The following is a 16,450-nucleotide window of genomic DNA, read 5'->3' as shown; positions in this document are numbered from 1 at the left end:
TGACCTCAGGTGATCCGCCCACCTCGGCCTCCCAAACTGCTGGAATTACAGGTGTGAGCAACCACACCCAGCCAGCTGTCTTTTAATTATTATAGATTTAGAACATCATTTTATATCTGGCATGGTGGCTTCAAGTATTGTGACACCCAAAACTTATACAATTGGGTGAGGGGTGGTATCTCATGAAGAAAATATTTACTGACGTAAAATTTACAAAAGCACATCACCATGAGAAAAACAGAGCTCCTCCCAGGCATTACTGGGAGGATCTGTGCCCTGAGCGCTTAGGAGTGAAAACTTCAGTAGCTTCATGGTATATCCACCTCGGTCAGCCGGGCTGGTCGCCACTTAAATTCTTTATAGCTTCTCATGACCATTCTTTTCTAATGATTTTTACAATTATTTACGTTAGCTATTTTTGTTCTGTTTAACATCTTCTGGGGATTTTAATTGAACTTGGGGAAAATTACCATCCTTAGAAAATGTGTTCCCTTGCAGGACACAGCATGTTTCTACCTTCCATCATGTCTTCCTTTGTACTTTTCAGTAAACTGTTCACTGTATTTCATGCATCTATTCCTTATTAAGCTTATTTCTAAGGATTTTCTACTCTTTCTTATTATAATTAATGAAATGTTAATGCGGATACACAGGGATACTATTGATTTCGAAGATTTGTTCTGTATCCAGCAACATTTAGCAGGTTTAGTTACATGTTTTATCACCTGAAAATGAATGTTTTGTCTTGCTGGGTCCATTACATATTCTTATTTCTTAATTTTTGATTTTATTTTATTGAATATACATCTCAAAACAATTTTAAATTAAGGCAGCACCTTAAAAATTTCATTTTGCTTTTAAAGAAATGTCTCTAAGGTTGTCCATTGGCTATAATGTTACTTGGTTTTTATTTATTTATTTATTTATTTATTTATTTTGAGACAGGGTCTCTTTCTGTCACCCAGGCTGGAGTGCAGTGGTGTAATCACAGCTCACTGCAGCCTTGACCTCCTGGGCTCAAGCGATTCTCCTGCCTCAGCCTCCTGAGTCCCAGACTGGGACTACAGGCGCACACCACCACACTCAGCTAATTTTTGTGTGTTTTGTAGAGACAGGTTTTTGCCATGTTGCCCAAGCTGGTCTCAAACTCTTGGGCTCAAGCAATCCTCCCGCCTTTTCCTACCAAAGTGCTGAGATTACAGGCATGAGCCATCATGCCCGGCCTTGATTTAAAAAAAAAAAAAATGGCCAGGCGCAGAGGTTTGTGCCTGTAATCCCAGCACTTTGGGAGGCCGAGGTGGGTGGATCACTGGAGGTCAGGAGTTCGAGACCAGCCTGGCCAGCATGGTAAAACCTAGTCTCTACTAAAAATACAACAATTAGCAGGGTGTGGTGGCAGGCATCTGTAATCCCAGCTACTCAGAGGGCTGAGTCAGGAGAATCACTTGAACCTGGGAGGTGGAGGTTGCAGTGAGCTGAGATCATGTCACTGCACTCCAGCCTGGGTAACAGAGGGAGACCCTGTCTCAAAAAACAAACAAACAAACAAAAACTATTAATATATTAAGAAAATATACCTCTAGCCTTTTTTTAAAAAATGTGTAGTTAGAATGTGTGCTGAATTTTGTCAAACTACTTGTCAACATCTATGGAAATGGCTATGTATGGATTTTCATTTAATTCTCTCATACCATATTACATTTTGTCATTGAACCATCCCTGCATTTCAGGGATACGTTTTACTTCATAATCCAATGTCTTTTTAATGGGTTTCATTTAAGATTTCCCCATCTGTTTTTATGACCTTGGCTAGTTGTTTGGGGTGCTTATCCTTATCGGTAGTATAATAAGTGTTTCTCTGTCAGGAATACTCATTGTAAAACAGTATTATTTATTTCTTTAAAATATTTTTGTAATTATCTGTCAGATTCAGAGCCCTCTTTCTTGAAATCTTAATAGTTCTTTGATGATTTTCTGAATGTATTCCTCTCTTATTAATGTATAAAGATTTTCTTCATCTCGCTTCAACTTTAGAAACTTCTATTTTTGTGTGAAATTACCCATTTCCTTGAGAGCTACAAATACAGTTGCAGAATTATCAACATTGATTTCTTATAATTTTTATGTCTATAGGGTTTCTGTTTCATTTCTAATTTCTACTTTTTATGTTTGGCTTTTTTTTGTTTTGTTTTTCTAAATTAGATTTATCACAGGTTTGTCTATTATCAAAGTTTCAAGGAATCAGCTCTTGCCTTAGTTTACTGTTTATTTTCTTGCCTTCCAATTTATAACTTTTTTATTCTTTTATTGTGTTCTTTTTTCCCTAAGATGTAATATTGAATAATAAATTTACTTTTTCTTTTTCATATTAACAATAAAAATATTTAAAGCTGTCATTAACTTGTTCTCTAAGCATTGACTTTTATAGATCTTGAAATGTAGTATATTGTTATTATTTCCTAAATTGTCTTTATTGAATTCTTTGTTTTCCCATTATCCCAGTTGTTCTTTGAGGGACTACTTTAAAATATTGCAGTAATTTTCAATTTTGTTTGTTTATTCTTAAGGCATTTACTTTCAAATTTTGGTTGTATTTTGGTCACAGTACAGCCTGTAAAACTTCTGGTGATATTTATTCATTTGATCTTATGTAAACTAGCAAGTGATAAGAGTAATAAGTGTTCTCTGAATACTTATAAGGAGAGTATATCAAACTTACAGACTGCAGGATTTTATTTACTTTACCTGTTGTGGTCTTGATTACAAGAAATTTAATGCTGCTCCGTAACTAAATTTTTGTTAGCTTCTACTTGAAGTTCTTCTATCCCTCACTTTTTGTGTTTTGTTGCCATGTTATTTGGTGCATATAAATTCACAATTATTATGTGTTAAGTATGTACTGTATTTATCTTTGTATAACCACCCATTTATTTCACATAATATGTTTTAATTATTTGATAAAATATGATATTATTTGATAAAATAAGATATTATTTGATAATATACAAAAGCTTTTGCTTTCTCATATTTATTATCATTGCTCTATCTTTGTATAAACTTTTAATTTTAGGTTATCTGTGTGACTTTTTATAAGTATGTTATTCAGAGAAAGTGCAACGTTGAAATATCTTTTAGGAGTTCTTTTGAGCATCTGTGCCTTTTAATAGGTCTTCCACATGGTGCTTTTTTTTTAAATTTTAGTTTCATAATTTTTTCTTCTACAAAAGTTTTTAAACTTTTGATTGCATATGATTCACTTTAGTAATCATTTTCATTGCTAATATTTTCCTTTGTTTTAAGCCACTTTATAAGCATTTTTAAGGAACGGAAAGGGAGAAGATCATTGGTACACCCTGTATCATCATTTCAAAAGAGCATAGCATCATCTAATGAAATGTAGGCACCTCTCAGTTTCCAAACTCTACTCTACCACAAATGGCTCTTTTCCTATTCAGATGGTGCTTTCTTTAATTCTATAGTTTTAATTTTCTCTCAGGAAATGCTAATTCTCATTTCATATGTTTTGATACCAGGGCTTATTATTCTGGCGCAATATTTTTAGCTATATTCTTCAAATGTTAACTATGCCAATCAGGTTCCTCTTTGTTTCAAAAATACCATATACAAACCTAATTTTATTTCCCCCTCAATTTCTCTACACAACACCACAGCTCTCTGTACTCTTTAAAATTTCAATAAACTGTGGTATTTTATTAATTCTATTTTATAAAGAGAACTTTGAGAAAATAAAGTTCCAAAAGTGAACTCCTTTTTAATGAGCACTTTATGAAATATGCTTTATCTAAAGGTCACTATTACTCTTCTTTTAATTATACAATTTGTGTCCCCATGGACTATTAAATATCACCTCCATTTTTTACTAGTACTAATACTTTCTCAACTATTGTGATAAAAAATGTGTCATGAATAAATAAGCACAATTTAAACTCTTCTCCATACAGCAATTTCTCAAAAATGTCACACTTACTTGTAACAATTTAATAAACAGCAACATTAAATTAACTCTTATTAAAATCCAGTTTTATAACTGGTGGTATGTGCAGCAATGAGAAATTTCTTAATGTGGGGGATAGAGAGTGGTGAGATGGGCAAAAAAGGGACAAATAGTAAGCAGGACGAAGGACCGTAAGATTAACAAATAAGTGCTATTCTTTATTAGTATCAGAATTTTCAGCATTGGTGCACCCCCTACTGACTGAAGTCCACATAAGGCTGTTTTAAAGTATCATTTAATGCCTGTCATAAATCAACCAAGTTACTTAAGGAGAGTCGTTATTAATTTTCTTCCTAAGTAACTTTTCTGGATCTAGCTGGGCGCGGTGGCTCAAGCCTGTAATCCCAGCACTTCGGGAGGCCGAGGCGGGCGGATCACGAGGTCAGGAGACTGAGACCATCCTGGCTAACACGGTGAAACCCCGTCTCTACTAAAAATACAAAAAATTAGCCGGGCGTGGTGGCGGGCGCCTGTAGTCCCAGCTACTCGGGAGGCTGAGGCAGGAGAATGGCGTGAACCCGGGAGGCAGAGATTGCAGTGAGCCGAGATGGCGCCACTGCACTCCAGCCTGGGCGACAGAGCGAGACTCTGTCTCAAAAAAAAAAAAAAAAAGAAAAAGAAAAAACTTGCTGAATCTTTACTAGCTATAGAGGAAAACCATAACCTAACAACACAGAACTCAAAGCCGCTCAACACTGAAAGAAATCTCTTGATTATTGAGCAGACATTTGTTAAGCACCTATTAGGAACTTGGAAGGATATAAAGATAACCAACCCAGAGTCCTTACATCTTAAATTCTCATGCAGGAGATAGACCGCTACACAAGCCTCTGACCCTCACCTCTTCTTACCCCTTCTATCTGCCCCTCACCTGGCCTTCCAGAGCACACTACAGTTTCCAAATCAAACTTGCAATGTACTTTCATGTACCCTTCCTATCACCCTCGCTGTTCTTTCTCCCTAGAATTCTCCCACTTCTTCTCCCTCCCCTTAAAACACAAATTCTGTTTCTTCATGATCCAACTAGTGAATCTTTTTCTGAACACTTAAGGTTTTTCCAGCTTTATATTATTACAAACAATTCTGTGACTTAGATCTTGGTCCAAATTTCTGAATTTCCTTAAATTCCTGCATTGAGAATCACAAGGACAAACAGGAATGTTTAAGACTCTTCATAGATATTGCTAAATTGTTCTCCAGAAAGACTGTACCAACTGATACTTTCAATAGAAGTGTATGAAAGTACCTACCTCACTTCATATTCACCAACTTTGAATAAGAGCTATATTTCGATTTGCTAAGTTGATAGGCCAAAAATGGTATATGGTTTTAATGGGCATTTATTTGATCACCAAAGCAGTGGAACATTTTTTCACATTAATCACTTGCATTTTTTCTACCAATTGTCTGTTCATGGTATTTTCATTTTCTAAAGGGTTTTAGTGGGTTTCTAATGGTTATATGAGGATATATATATATATATATATTTTTTTTAATTTAGACGGAGTCTCATTCTATTGCCCAGGCTGGAGTGCAATGGCATGATCTCGGTTCACTGCAACCTCTGCCTCCCAGGTTTGAGCAATTCCCTTGCCTCAGTCTCCCAAGTAGGTGGGATTACAGGCTCATGCTACTACGCTGGCTGATTTTTTTATTTTAGTAGAGACGGGGTTTCACCATGTTAGTCAGGCTCATCTCGAACTCCTGACTTCAAGTGATCTACCCACCTTGGCCTCCCAAAGTGCTGGGATTACAGGCGTGAGCCACGGCACCCAGCCTATATTTTAAGAAAATTAACTCTTAATCCATTACATTTGTGGTAAATATTTTCATACTATATTTTCCTTTTAATGTTTTTGATGTTTTCTATATTTGTGACTCTGTCCCACTTAGGCAATTGAAGCTGTATGAATAACTAGATTTTTAGTATTTCTCTCTTTAGGTAATCTCTGATTGATTTAGATATATAGCCTGAGATAATCCTACTTTCTGTCTTTTCCAAATACTTAACTGGCTGTTTCAGCACCATTTATTTACTAATCTATCCTTTCCCCTTGGATTTGAAATGCCCATTTAAAATACATGCTAAAATGTCATATATGTTAAGGTTGATTTTAAGGGTATCCATTTCTTTCTACCCATTTTTGCTCAGTTTCGCACTACTTTAGCTACTATAGCTACCTAATATGTTGTAATATCTGGTAGATTGAATTCCTCCCTTTACCTTTTCAAAACTTTCCTGGCCACCCTCACCTGTTTGTTCTTCCAAAGAAACATTAGGATCACTCTGTCAGGTTCCAAAACTGTCCTACTGAGATTTCAACTGGAATTTCATTCAACTAATTTAGGGAGAATTGACAGTATCAAAACACTGAATCTCCCTGCCCAGAAGCATGGTATATCATCTTTTATTCAGGTTTCCTGTTACGTTCTTCAGAGAAAATTTATGATTCTCTTCATTTAGATCCTATACATCTCTTGTTAAGATTTCTTGCTAGATATTTCATATTTTTAGGTCCTTTTCTTTTCTTTTTTGAGAAAGTCTCGCTCTGTTGCCTAGGCTGGACTGCAATGATACAATCTCGGCTCACTGCAACCTCCGCCTCCTGGGTTCAGGCGATTCTCCTGCCTCAGCCTCCCAAGTAGCTGGGATTACAGGCACGCACCACCATGCCCGGCTAATTTTTGTATTTTTAGTAGAGATGGGGTTTCAGCATGTTAGCCAGGCAGGTCTCGAATGCCTGACCTCAAGTGATCCACCCACCTTAGCCTCCCAAAGTGCTGGGATTACAGGCGTGAGCCACTGCACTTGGCCTTGAGTTATTTTTGATAGGGTTTTTCTATTATTGTTTATACATGATCACTGCTGGTTTGAAAGAAAGGTGCTGATTTTTGCATTTTTCAGTTAAGTTTGATTAACATTTTAGATTTTGATATTAATTTTTCCAATAAATCACAATTACCCAAGGTAGAATTTTGATAAATATACAACCAATGCTATGTGCTGATTTATCTTGTTAAAAATGTAAATACCTGAATGTATTTTTGCTGAAGGTACCAGTTGGCTGATGTAAGTGACTAAAGCTGTTTGAGGACTAAAGCTTATATGGAATTATATTCAATACCATTTGAAGAAATGAGAAACCGTTGAAACTCCTTCTTAAGGTAGGCTTTTTCTACGTTGTTACTCTGAGTGAATAGACAAGTCAGCAAAGGAAAAAGACTAGAGATGTAGATTATGGTCTTAACTCAATGGATTCCAAAGATTGTCAACATATGGGTTCTAGTGCCTCTGTTTCCCCATCTGGTAGGTGTCTGAGTGTTTGAAAAAAAGGTCTAGGTGAATTTAAGATTCCTTTATGATCTATCAGCCTGCAAGTACTCAGAAACATTCTCATCATTGTTTAACATCACACACAATCCATAAAAGAGGGTGTTTCCTGTTCGAGTTTCTGCCTCACTTTGCAGTCCCTCCTCTTAAGAAAATGTCTTACTTTCTTCTCTTCCCCAGTGGTTTCAGTGCATGCATTTGGCAAATATTTCTGTGATGAAAAATGGAAGTGGAAGGCGCAGGGTGGATTTTGGTACATTTTGACATTAAACAAACTTGCAGCACACAAGTAAAGCTATACGTAAGGGCTGGCTGGTTACTTTCTAATCAATCATTTGGGCACTTTTTCTGATAGGGCCATGCACTGATTTACTAAGGACATATGGCTCAGCATTTTTTTCCTCAGCCTAAGGCCCAAGCAAACAGCTGTTCTCTCAAATGAAGGCAGTTTGGGCTGCGGGCACCTGTCTCCCTCCAGACCTGCTCTGCACAGCCAGCTGGGGAACAACTGCTGCTTCTAGGTGCCCTGGTCTCCCTAGACGTGGCTTTGGGACCCAGAGAGCTGGCAGCGGCACTGCCCAGATTTGGGCACCTGCTGATTCTCTCCCCGTACCCTTGTGTTCTTACTGGATTGGGACCTTCATGTTATGCCTTGCAAGTTCCAAATTCTGGTAAATGTCAGGGCTCATAAACTGTACACACTATATATTGTTGACCCCTTGATGATAAATAAGGCATGGGTTACCTAACACCAGGACTTGGCTTGCTTTCTGTTGATGCCTTTATTCACCCAACAGATGCTTACTGAGCCGTTACTATGTGCCTGGTATTGCGGATATACCTGTGAATGAGACAGACCATCTCTCTGCCTCTTTCTGTCCATGTGCTCTTTCTTACCAGAACTGAAAACATCACAACCCTAGATGCTTGCAGTCCCTTCGATCCTGCTGGGTTTGCCTCATAGTCTAGAATGCTTCAGTTTACTTTACACTTGGTGGGAAAAAACCTTTCGGAAAATTTTTGACATCATTTTGGAGCATCTAAACATGAAGAGGACTGCCTTTCCTCGGAGGACATGCATGCATAAAGCTAGAAAGGACACATTTCTTTGTTTTATTTTGTTTGGGAGGAGAATACAAGAATGAGAATGGAATGAGAATACAATGAGAACAGAAGCTGAAATCTCTATCTTCTCTTCCTAAAAGTTATCCGACATGGGCCAGGTGCTGTGGGTCATGTCTGTAATCCTAGCACTTTGGGAGGCTGAGGCAGGTGGATCACCTGAGGTCAGGAATTCGAGACCAGCCTGGCCAACATGATGAAACCCTGTCTCTACTAAAAAGCTACAAAAATTAGCCTAGCGTGGTGGTGGGTGCTTGTAATCCCAGCTACTTGGGAGGCTGAGGCAGGAGAATCGCTTGAACTCAGGAGGAGGAGGTTGCAGTGAGCTGAGATCGCATCATTGCACTCTGGCCTAGGTGACAGAGTGAGAATCCAGCTAAAAAAAAAAAAAAAAAAAAAAAAAAGGTCCCACATAAGAGAAAAGAAAAAAGAGAAACTATGAGCCTGTGGTGCTCAGGTGTTGGCAGCTGGTCAGTGACTTCCATCTCCTGATGTTGTAATAGGAAACAAGCAATATCACTCAAATGAATGTAAAAGAAAGGACTGCAAGAACTGTTCATCTCAGGACACACATGCAATGATGTCATTTTCATTATCCCAGTGAGAATTTCTGGGCCAGGTTTTATACCATCGTGTATGTGAGTATATGAGAGTCTTTTCAGGATAAAACCTTTTAGCATAGAAAAAGAGAAAAGCTAGTTTTGACATGGACCTGGTTATGGAAAAACTGCTAATTAGACAGATTGATTTAGCATTAAGAAATTACCTTTAATTTCTCAGGATGGGGAATTCCTGTGATAGTCAGAGCTTTCCAGAAGAGATTCATTTCTTAAGACAGGGATTCAAGAATAAGTTATTTCTATATTTAGGTAAACAAAAAATGGGAAAAATCATAGACAGGAAGTTCTGTATGGCTACCTGAAATCTTCAATCACTAATGGAAACAAAATTGAATTTGACTCTAGATTCTAGGCTGCGTGGGGTGGCTCATGCCTGTAATCCCAGCACTTTGGGAAGCTGAGGCAGGAGGATCACTTGAGGCCAGGGTTTGACCAGCCTGGGCAACATAAGAGACCTTGTCTCAAAGAAAAAAACAAAAAGAAAGAAAGAAAGAAGAAAGAGAGAGAGAGAGAGAGAGAGAAAGAAAGAAAGAAAGAAAGAAAGAAAGAAAGAAAGAAAGAAAGAAAGAGAGAAAGAAAGAGAAGGAGAGAAAGAAAGAAAGATTTGTATTAAATTAGGAGTAATGTGATTCCTAAAATGGGGAGTTTGCCTTTGCAGAGACAAGGGGTGGATGCCATGTCTGAGGGCTTGGGAGCCCCTGAGCCCCTCCTGTGTTCTGGTCTCTCCTTCTCAGCCAGTTACACTCCCTAGGTTGGAGAGCTGATAGGGATGTTGAAATCTCAGGCTTGAGCTGTGCTGGTCACTTCTCTCTGGCTTATTCTATGGCCACGCAGACTCTGGCTCTCTATTCCATCAGGGCCACCTGGGCCACAAGTGAAAAGGTAAGAGTGTCCCGGGCTGTGCCAGTACAGCTTCCTAAACATGGCTCCAATTTCCTGCTCCTCTCCTATCACCGCTGCCCTTATTGTTTGTAACCGAAGTACTGATTGCATCTCTCTCCTCACCGACCTCCCTGTGTAGTCCTAGCTGTTGGAGTTTGAAGAAAGCTGTCATTTCTGGTATGCAATTGGTACCCAATAAGCTCACTGAAAGCAAATCCACTTAAAAGCAACATCAATATTTTACAGTAAATGATGAAAAACAAAAAGTGCAGCTGACACTTTACCCTGAAAAATGAAACATAAAATGATGATACTGACTGGGCGTGGTGGCTCACACCTGTAATCCCAGCACTTTGGGAGGCCGAGGTGGCGGATCACTTGAGGTCAGGAGTTCAAGACCAGCCTGACCAACATGGTGAAAACCCATCTCTACTAAAAATACAAAAAGTAGCCAGGTGTGGTGGCGGGTGCCTGTAATCCCAGCTACTTGAGAGGCTGAGACAGGAGATTTGCTTGAACCCAGGAGGCAGAGGTTGCAGTGAACCTAGATTGTGCCACTGCCCTCCAGCCTGGGCGACAGAGTGAGACTCCATCTCAAAAATAAATAAATAACATAAAATAAAGTAATGATAGTAAGTTTATATATATACACATATATCCATATGTGTATATTTAGTGATATATATAATGATAGATATTTATATGAGATATATATATATACATACATGTGTTAGATTAAAATTGTAACTCTATCAAATTGTTATCACATAGAATGAACCAAGTGCTGGTTTCTGCAATGATTTTCCTCACCAAACTGGAAAATAGCACTGCAAAATATGTTTGAATTTCACAACTCAGTCGCAGAGATGGACATCTTTGCAGAAATATTCAAGGACTCGAATATTTTTCCCAAGGGTCTTTCCCAACTTTTAGCCATTCATATCATTTTCTTTGTGAACCATCCCTTGCCAATTTTGTCTGCTCAAATGTTAACTGCTTTAATTCTACACAAAGTCATCTATTGATGGGTTAGTGTATAATGAAGGAGTTCTTGAATATCATTCTCATCAACTTGATGAAATTCTGCATCTTCTCCAAGAGTTTTGGTTTCACTTTCCAACCACTTGTGTTATTTTTAGCCTTGGACAATCAGTGGGAGACTAACCAGCAATCACATAGGTTCAAGCGATGAGGATCTATGCTGCTGCTTTCATAAGGCACCAAGTTTATATGTACAGATTTGGTTCAGTGGCAAATATTTTCTTGTTATGATGATTCTTGCTTCACTGTGTGGCCACATTTATAGTAAGGACTCAAATGATGAAGAGGTTGATAAGGAGCCATGCTCCCACCCCCATCCTTCTAACACAGAAGTCATCACTTTGGACTTTAAATTGCAGTGTGGACACACACACAACACTTCCACAGTGATGTGTCATAATGAGGGCTGTGTCAAATGCAAACAGGAGCACAGAAGCCGAAACAAGGCACTGTGCTCAGCTAGTGGGGAGAGGCGTATCAGTGAGACACTTGGAGAGTAGAGTATTTGCACAGAATCTCAAGATATGAGTAAGACTTTCCAGGGCAAATCAGAGGAAAGTGCATTCTGGGTGGAGAGAACACCATGTGCAAAGTTCAAGGGTGTGGAAATGCATGGCCTGTAAGGATAGCGAGAGATTTATGTGGCTGTGGGTTCAGCTGAGTTGGAGAATGGGAGGAGAAAACATCAAAGCCAGACAGGTAGACGGGGACAGAGATAAGAGCCTGTTAGATGAACCCCAGGGTTTCAACACTGACGTTGTCAACATTTGGGGCCAGATCCCTCTTTGTTGGGGCAGGGAGTCAGTTGCCAACTTGTGCATTGTAGGATGTTTAGCAGCATCGCTGGCCTCTACCCACAGATGCCAGTGGCACCCTCACCACCAGTTGGGACAACCGAGCATGTCTCCAGACAGTGCCAATGTCCCCTGGGGAATATCGTCCCTAGGGAAATTGTCACCTGCTGCTGTAGTGTGATAGGGATGACCCAGAATAGATGATCAGTTGTTATTTGTGCAATGACTAAATGAAGGGAGCACAGACAAAAAGACTGGAAAGGAGAAGGGACACATTATCATGGCCGGGCATGGTGGCACGCATCTGTAGTTCCAGCTACTCGGGAGGCTGAGGCAGGAGGATCGATTTAGCCCAGGAGGTCAAAGCTGCAGTAAGCCATAATCATGCTGCTGCACTCCAGCCTAGGCAACAGAGCAAAGCTCTGTCTCTAAAATAAAAATGTAAAAACGAGGCCGGGCATGGTGGCTCACGCCTGTAATCCCAGCACTTTGGGAAGCCAAGGCAGGTGGATCACTTGAGGTCAGGAGTTTGAGACCAGCCTGGCCAAGATGGCGAAATCCCATCTCTACTAGAAATACAAAAATTAGCCAGCGGTGGTGCATGCCTGTAATCCCAGCTACTCAAGAGGCTGAGGCAGGGGAATTGTTTGAACCTAGGAGGAGGAGGTTGCAGTGAGCCAAGATCACGCCACTGCACGCCAGCCTGGGAGACAGAGCAAGACTCTGTTGAAAGAAAGGAAGAAAGAAAGAGAGAGAGAAAGAGAGAGGAAGGAAGGAAAGAAGGAAGGAAGGAGGGAGGGAGGGAAGGAGGGAGGGAAAGAGAGAAAGATTCTCAGAGTTAAGAAGATATACGGAAAGGATTCATGAGAATACAAAGAGAAGAAGACAGTTGAAGGAGTTCACAGTGAATTTAGAGATAAAGGTCACTGCTGAGAGATTCAGAGGAAAAGGTGGCTTGGAGTTTGAGGAGAATGGATGAGAGTCCAAAAAGCACCTGGGAAGTTTGGAAGTCAGCACCAAAGTGAGACATGCCCACTTTGTGAGGAGACGAGAAGGTGTTAGGAAGGCCCACGGGGCTCACTGCCTTATTTTAAGAGTCATGTATTTAGCATTTATCAGGGTAAAAATACTGGTTTTCTAATGAAAGTAGTTATATAAAGTTTCCTTTCAAGTGTATTTGTAAGGAAGCTGATTCTGACAAAAACACATGGTTTTTCCTACTACTAGACTCTCAACACACATACGTTCCGACATAGATGTGTGGGAGTTCTCTCCACCAACCACACAATTCTCTAGCAGCCATTACAATTCCAACACCATCTACCTGGAGATGGTATCAAAAGGAGCTTGTTATAAATAATCAAAGGCATCCCTATCATTCAGGAAATCCCAAGGGTTTTAGGAGCTCTGTGACAAGAATGCGGGACAAAGACCAAGTACGTTTCTTCTTAGACCACAGTGATATAAAAAGTCAAGTAGCAATGGTGTGGCAGGCCAGGTCTCACTGATGCAGGCCTCCATAACAACTGTTTCCATGCTGACTGAGTGGTTAAATATGAAAAGCCAAAAGAGTCAGTGTCCTTACACAAAGGCTGGAATGTCACGAAAGCCCACCAAGAGTTTTGTCTAGGCCTTTCCTGGGCCTTGAAGTATGACAAGATGGCAAAGGAATTCTTAACAGAACCTGCTTAGGATTAAACAAGTTTTACTAGGGGTCTGAAGAAACTCCCCAGGCCTCCATAGACACATTTATTAGGGGTCTGAAGGAATTCCCCAAACCTCCATGATGTAGCAGGAGTAATCATCCCAGCACCTGGACCCATTTAGATTAAATAAATTTACTGAAGCTCCAGAGGAAGGTCTTCAGGACTCAGATCTTAGTTATAGATTAGAAGAGGTTAATCACTTATGTCTTTAGATGAATGCACACTTACACATAGACATATAGCTTAAAAGGTATATAAGCTCTGGAAAACTTTGTAATTTTAAGTTGGTCTGGTGATAATTTCCAGGCCTCCTCCCTGTAACCGGTTAACTCTCTTCTCTCCCAGTTCATCTGCATCTCGTTATTGGGCCTTGAGAATAAGCAGCCTGACCATTGATTTGGTCCGGGAACAATGGGACATGTGGAATGAAGATAGGGCAACAGCTGTAAAGGTGGTGTGCAAGTGAGGGGAATTTGGAAATAACAGTAGCTGAGGCCCAGCTGACGATGGAGTGCTTCTCCTGCCTGGCCTGTCTCTGGAACTGGCTAACATGGGGCCACTCATGTCAGTGCTGCCATCTGCCTCTTGCTATACCAACCCCTGATCCCAGCCTCTTAGCCAATCCTCCTCTGCCCACTACCTTCCATAAGGACCCAGAGGCTGCACTTCAAAGTTCTGGGTCTCTTGGCTGTGAACACCCAACCCTTCCTTTAAATATCCTCTAGTTGATTCTTGCTGGGCATGGTGGCTTATGCCTATAATCCCAGCACTTTGGGAGGCCGAGGCAGGCAGATCACTTGAGGTTAGGAGTTCAAGACCAGCCTGGTCAACATGGTGAAACCCCATCTCTACTAAAAATACAAAAATTACCTGGGTGTGGTGGCACGCACCTGTAATCCCAGCTACTCCAGAGGCTGAGGCAGGAAAATCACTTGAACCTGGGAGGCAGAGGTTGCAGTGAGCCAAGATCGTGCCATTGCACTCCAGGCTGGGCCTGGGTGACGGAGTGGGACTCTGTCTAAAAAATAAATAAATATCCTCTAGTTGATTCTTGACTTGTGTTTTGGTTTTGGTTCCTGGCCAGTTGTAAAGTTCCTTGTAGGTAAGAGTTAATGTCTGCATTCTCATCCCAGACACGGAGCTCGGCAAGATCCCAACAGGAGATCCCAGCAGGAAGGGTGTGGAGATGTGTGTCATCCCTGGGGCAAGGGCCATAACTACCAGTCACCTAGTTAATTTCAAATCAAAGTAATGATCTGTTGTTAATGACTTCTCTGTTTCTGTGAGAGGCACTGTCAAGTAATGCAGTGCTTAGGTATCTAAAAACCATTAATTTGCTTCCTCTGTGTCTCCTAACAGAGTCTCCAGGAGATAATCATTATGTAAGTCTTACCCTCCAAATCCAAGCAAGAGGTGGTATTATTTCTACCATGAGGAGACACGCAGAGAAGACAATTGGGTCCTGGATCTCCATCTTTCCATGCCCCATCCCACCACTCTAGATCTAGTAAGTAAAATTAGACTGATATAGTATGTGTGTTGGGGGCACGGGAGATAGGTGTCATTTAATTTTCATGACTAAAACACAGAAATTTTGAACTTGAGAGCAGAATAATGTTCTCTAAAATAAACAGAACAGGAATGCTGAATGGTGAACAGCCTCATGGAACTCCAGGAATAGCAGGGACAGGCTGTTCTGTGCTGATGGTTCTTGAACCAGTGTTTTTAACACCCAGCGACGTTAACTGCATCTTAGTCAAGGCTGAGGTACTCTCAGTAGCCCTTAAAGCATTACCTCCCCAAGAAATCACTCTTAAGTACTGTAGGTTTAAAAAAAGAAAATCTCAGGTACCACAAATTGCACTTAGCAACTACCCAACCATATTATTTCCTTCCTGTCTAATGTAATTTTTGTTTTCCTGTATAAAGGACTTATGTTATTTTGAAAAATTATCCTCCCTCCTAAATTAACCTGGCTTTTTGTCTTTAACAATCAAACAAGCTAAGAACAAGAATGAGGTGGTCCTTCTAACAAGCTTCTAAGTAACTAGATGTAAAGATTTTCCTCCATAACCTTCATTGAAAATGGCAAATTGTTCTGTTAGGAGGTAGACGGCTGTGGAGAGTGCAGGAGAGCAGGGTGGGAAGCCATATTCTGAAAGCTAAGCCAGGCAGTCTGTTCCCTGGACAAGGCTCATCTCTGAATGAAACCACATGCCACCTCCTCCTGCCCCAGCAATTCTTAGTCATTCTTTCATCCATTGATGCAACAAATAATTGTCATTTAGGAAGGGGGAAATCACTGAACAAGTCTGGCAAGAGCCTCGCCCTCAGGGGCTTACAGTCTAGCGGAAGTTACAACAAATAAACTAGATGACTCCATTAATTCATTCATCCCACAAATAGCTATTGATTTTTTTCATTTTTCAATAAGTAGTCATTGAGCCTTGACTATATGGGAGACACTGAGGATGATTTTTGAGCAAGACCGGCAAGATTCTTGCCTTCAAGAACTCAGTTCGATTGTGAATTTTCACAAATAAATTAACAAGATGATGTCAGAGGGGTAAGTGCTATAAAAAATGCAACAGGATATTGTGACGGAGCAGAGCAACAAGGTGAGAAACGGTGACGAGGGAAGTCTCTCTGGGAGAGACATCTCAGCTCAGATCCATCCTATGCACCTAGGGCAAGGTGTGCCCGGCCAGGAAGCTTTTCTACCCGACCCCTGGCACCGTGCTTCCGGACCGCATCCCTCGTAGGGGTATTATTCATGGGCAGGTCTGATGTTAGCTTCTCCGCGTCACGCCTTATTTATCCCCTCCGAGGGCTGCAAGCTCCTGGCGGGCAGGTGGGACTGGCCCAGCTGATCGGCTGGGTGGCTGGTGGATTTGGGAAAACAGCCCGGGCTGACCCAGGAGGTGGCTGGAACTCTCTAT

This window comes from Homo sapiens, chromosome 20, assembly GCF_000001405.40.
Source record: "Homo sapiens chromosome 20, GRCh38.p14 Primary Assembly".
Lineage (NCBI taxonomy): Eukaryota > Metazoa > Chordata > Mammalia > Primates > Hominidae > Homo > Homo sapiens.
The sequence above is the reverse complement of the archived record's forward strand: the minus strand, read 5'-3'. Positions refer to the sequence as shown.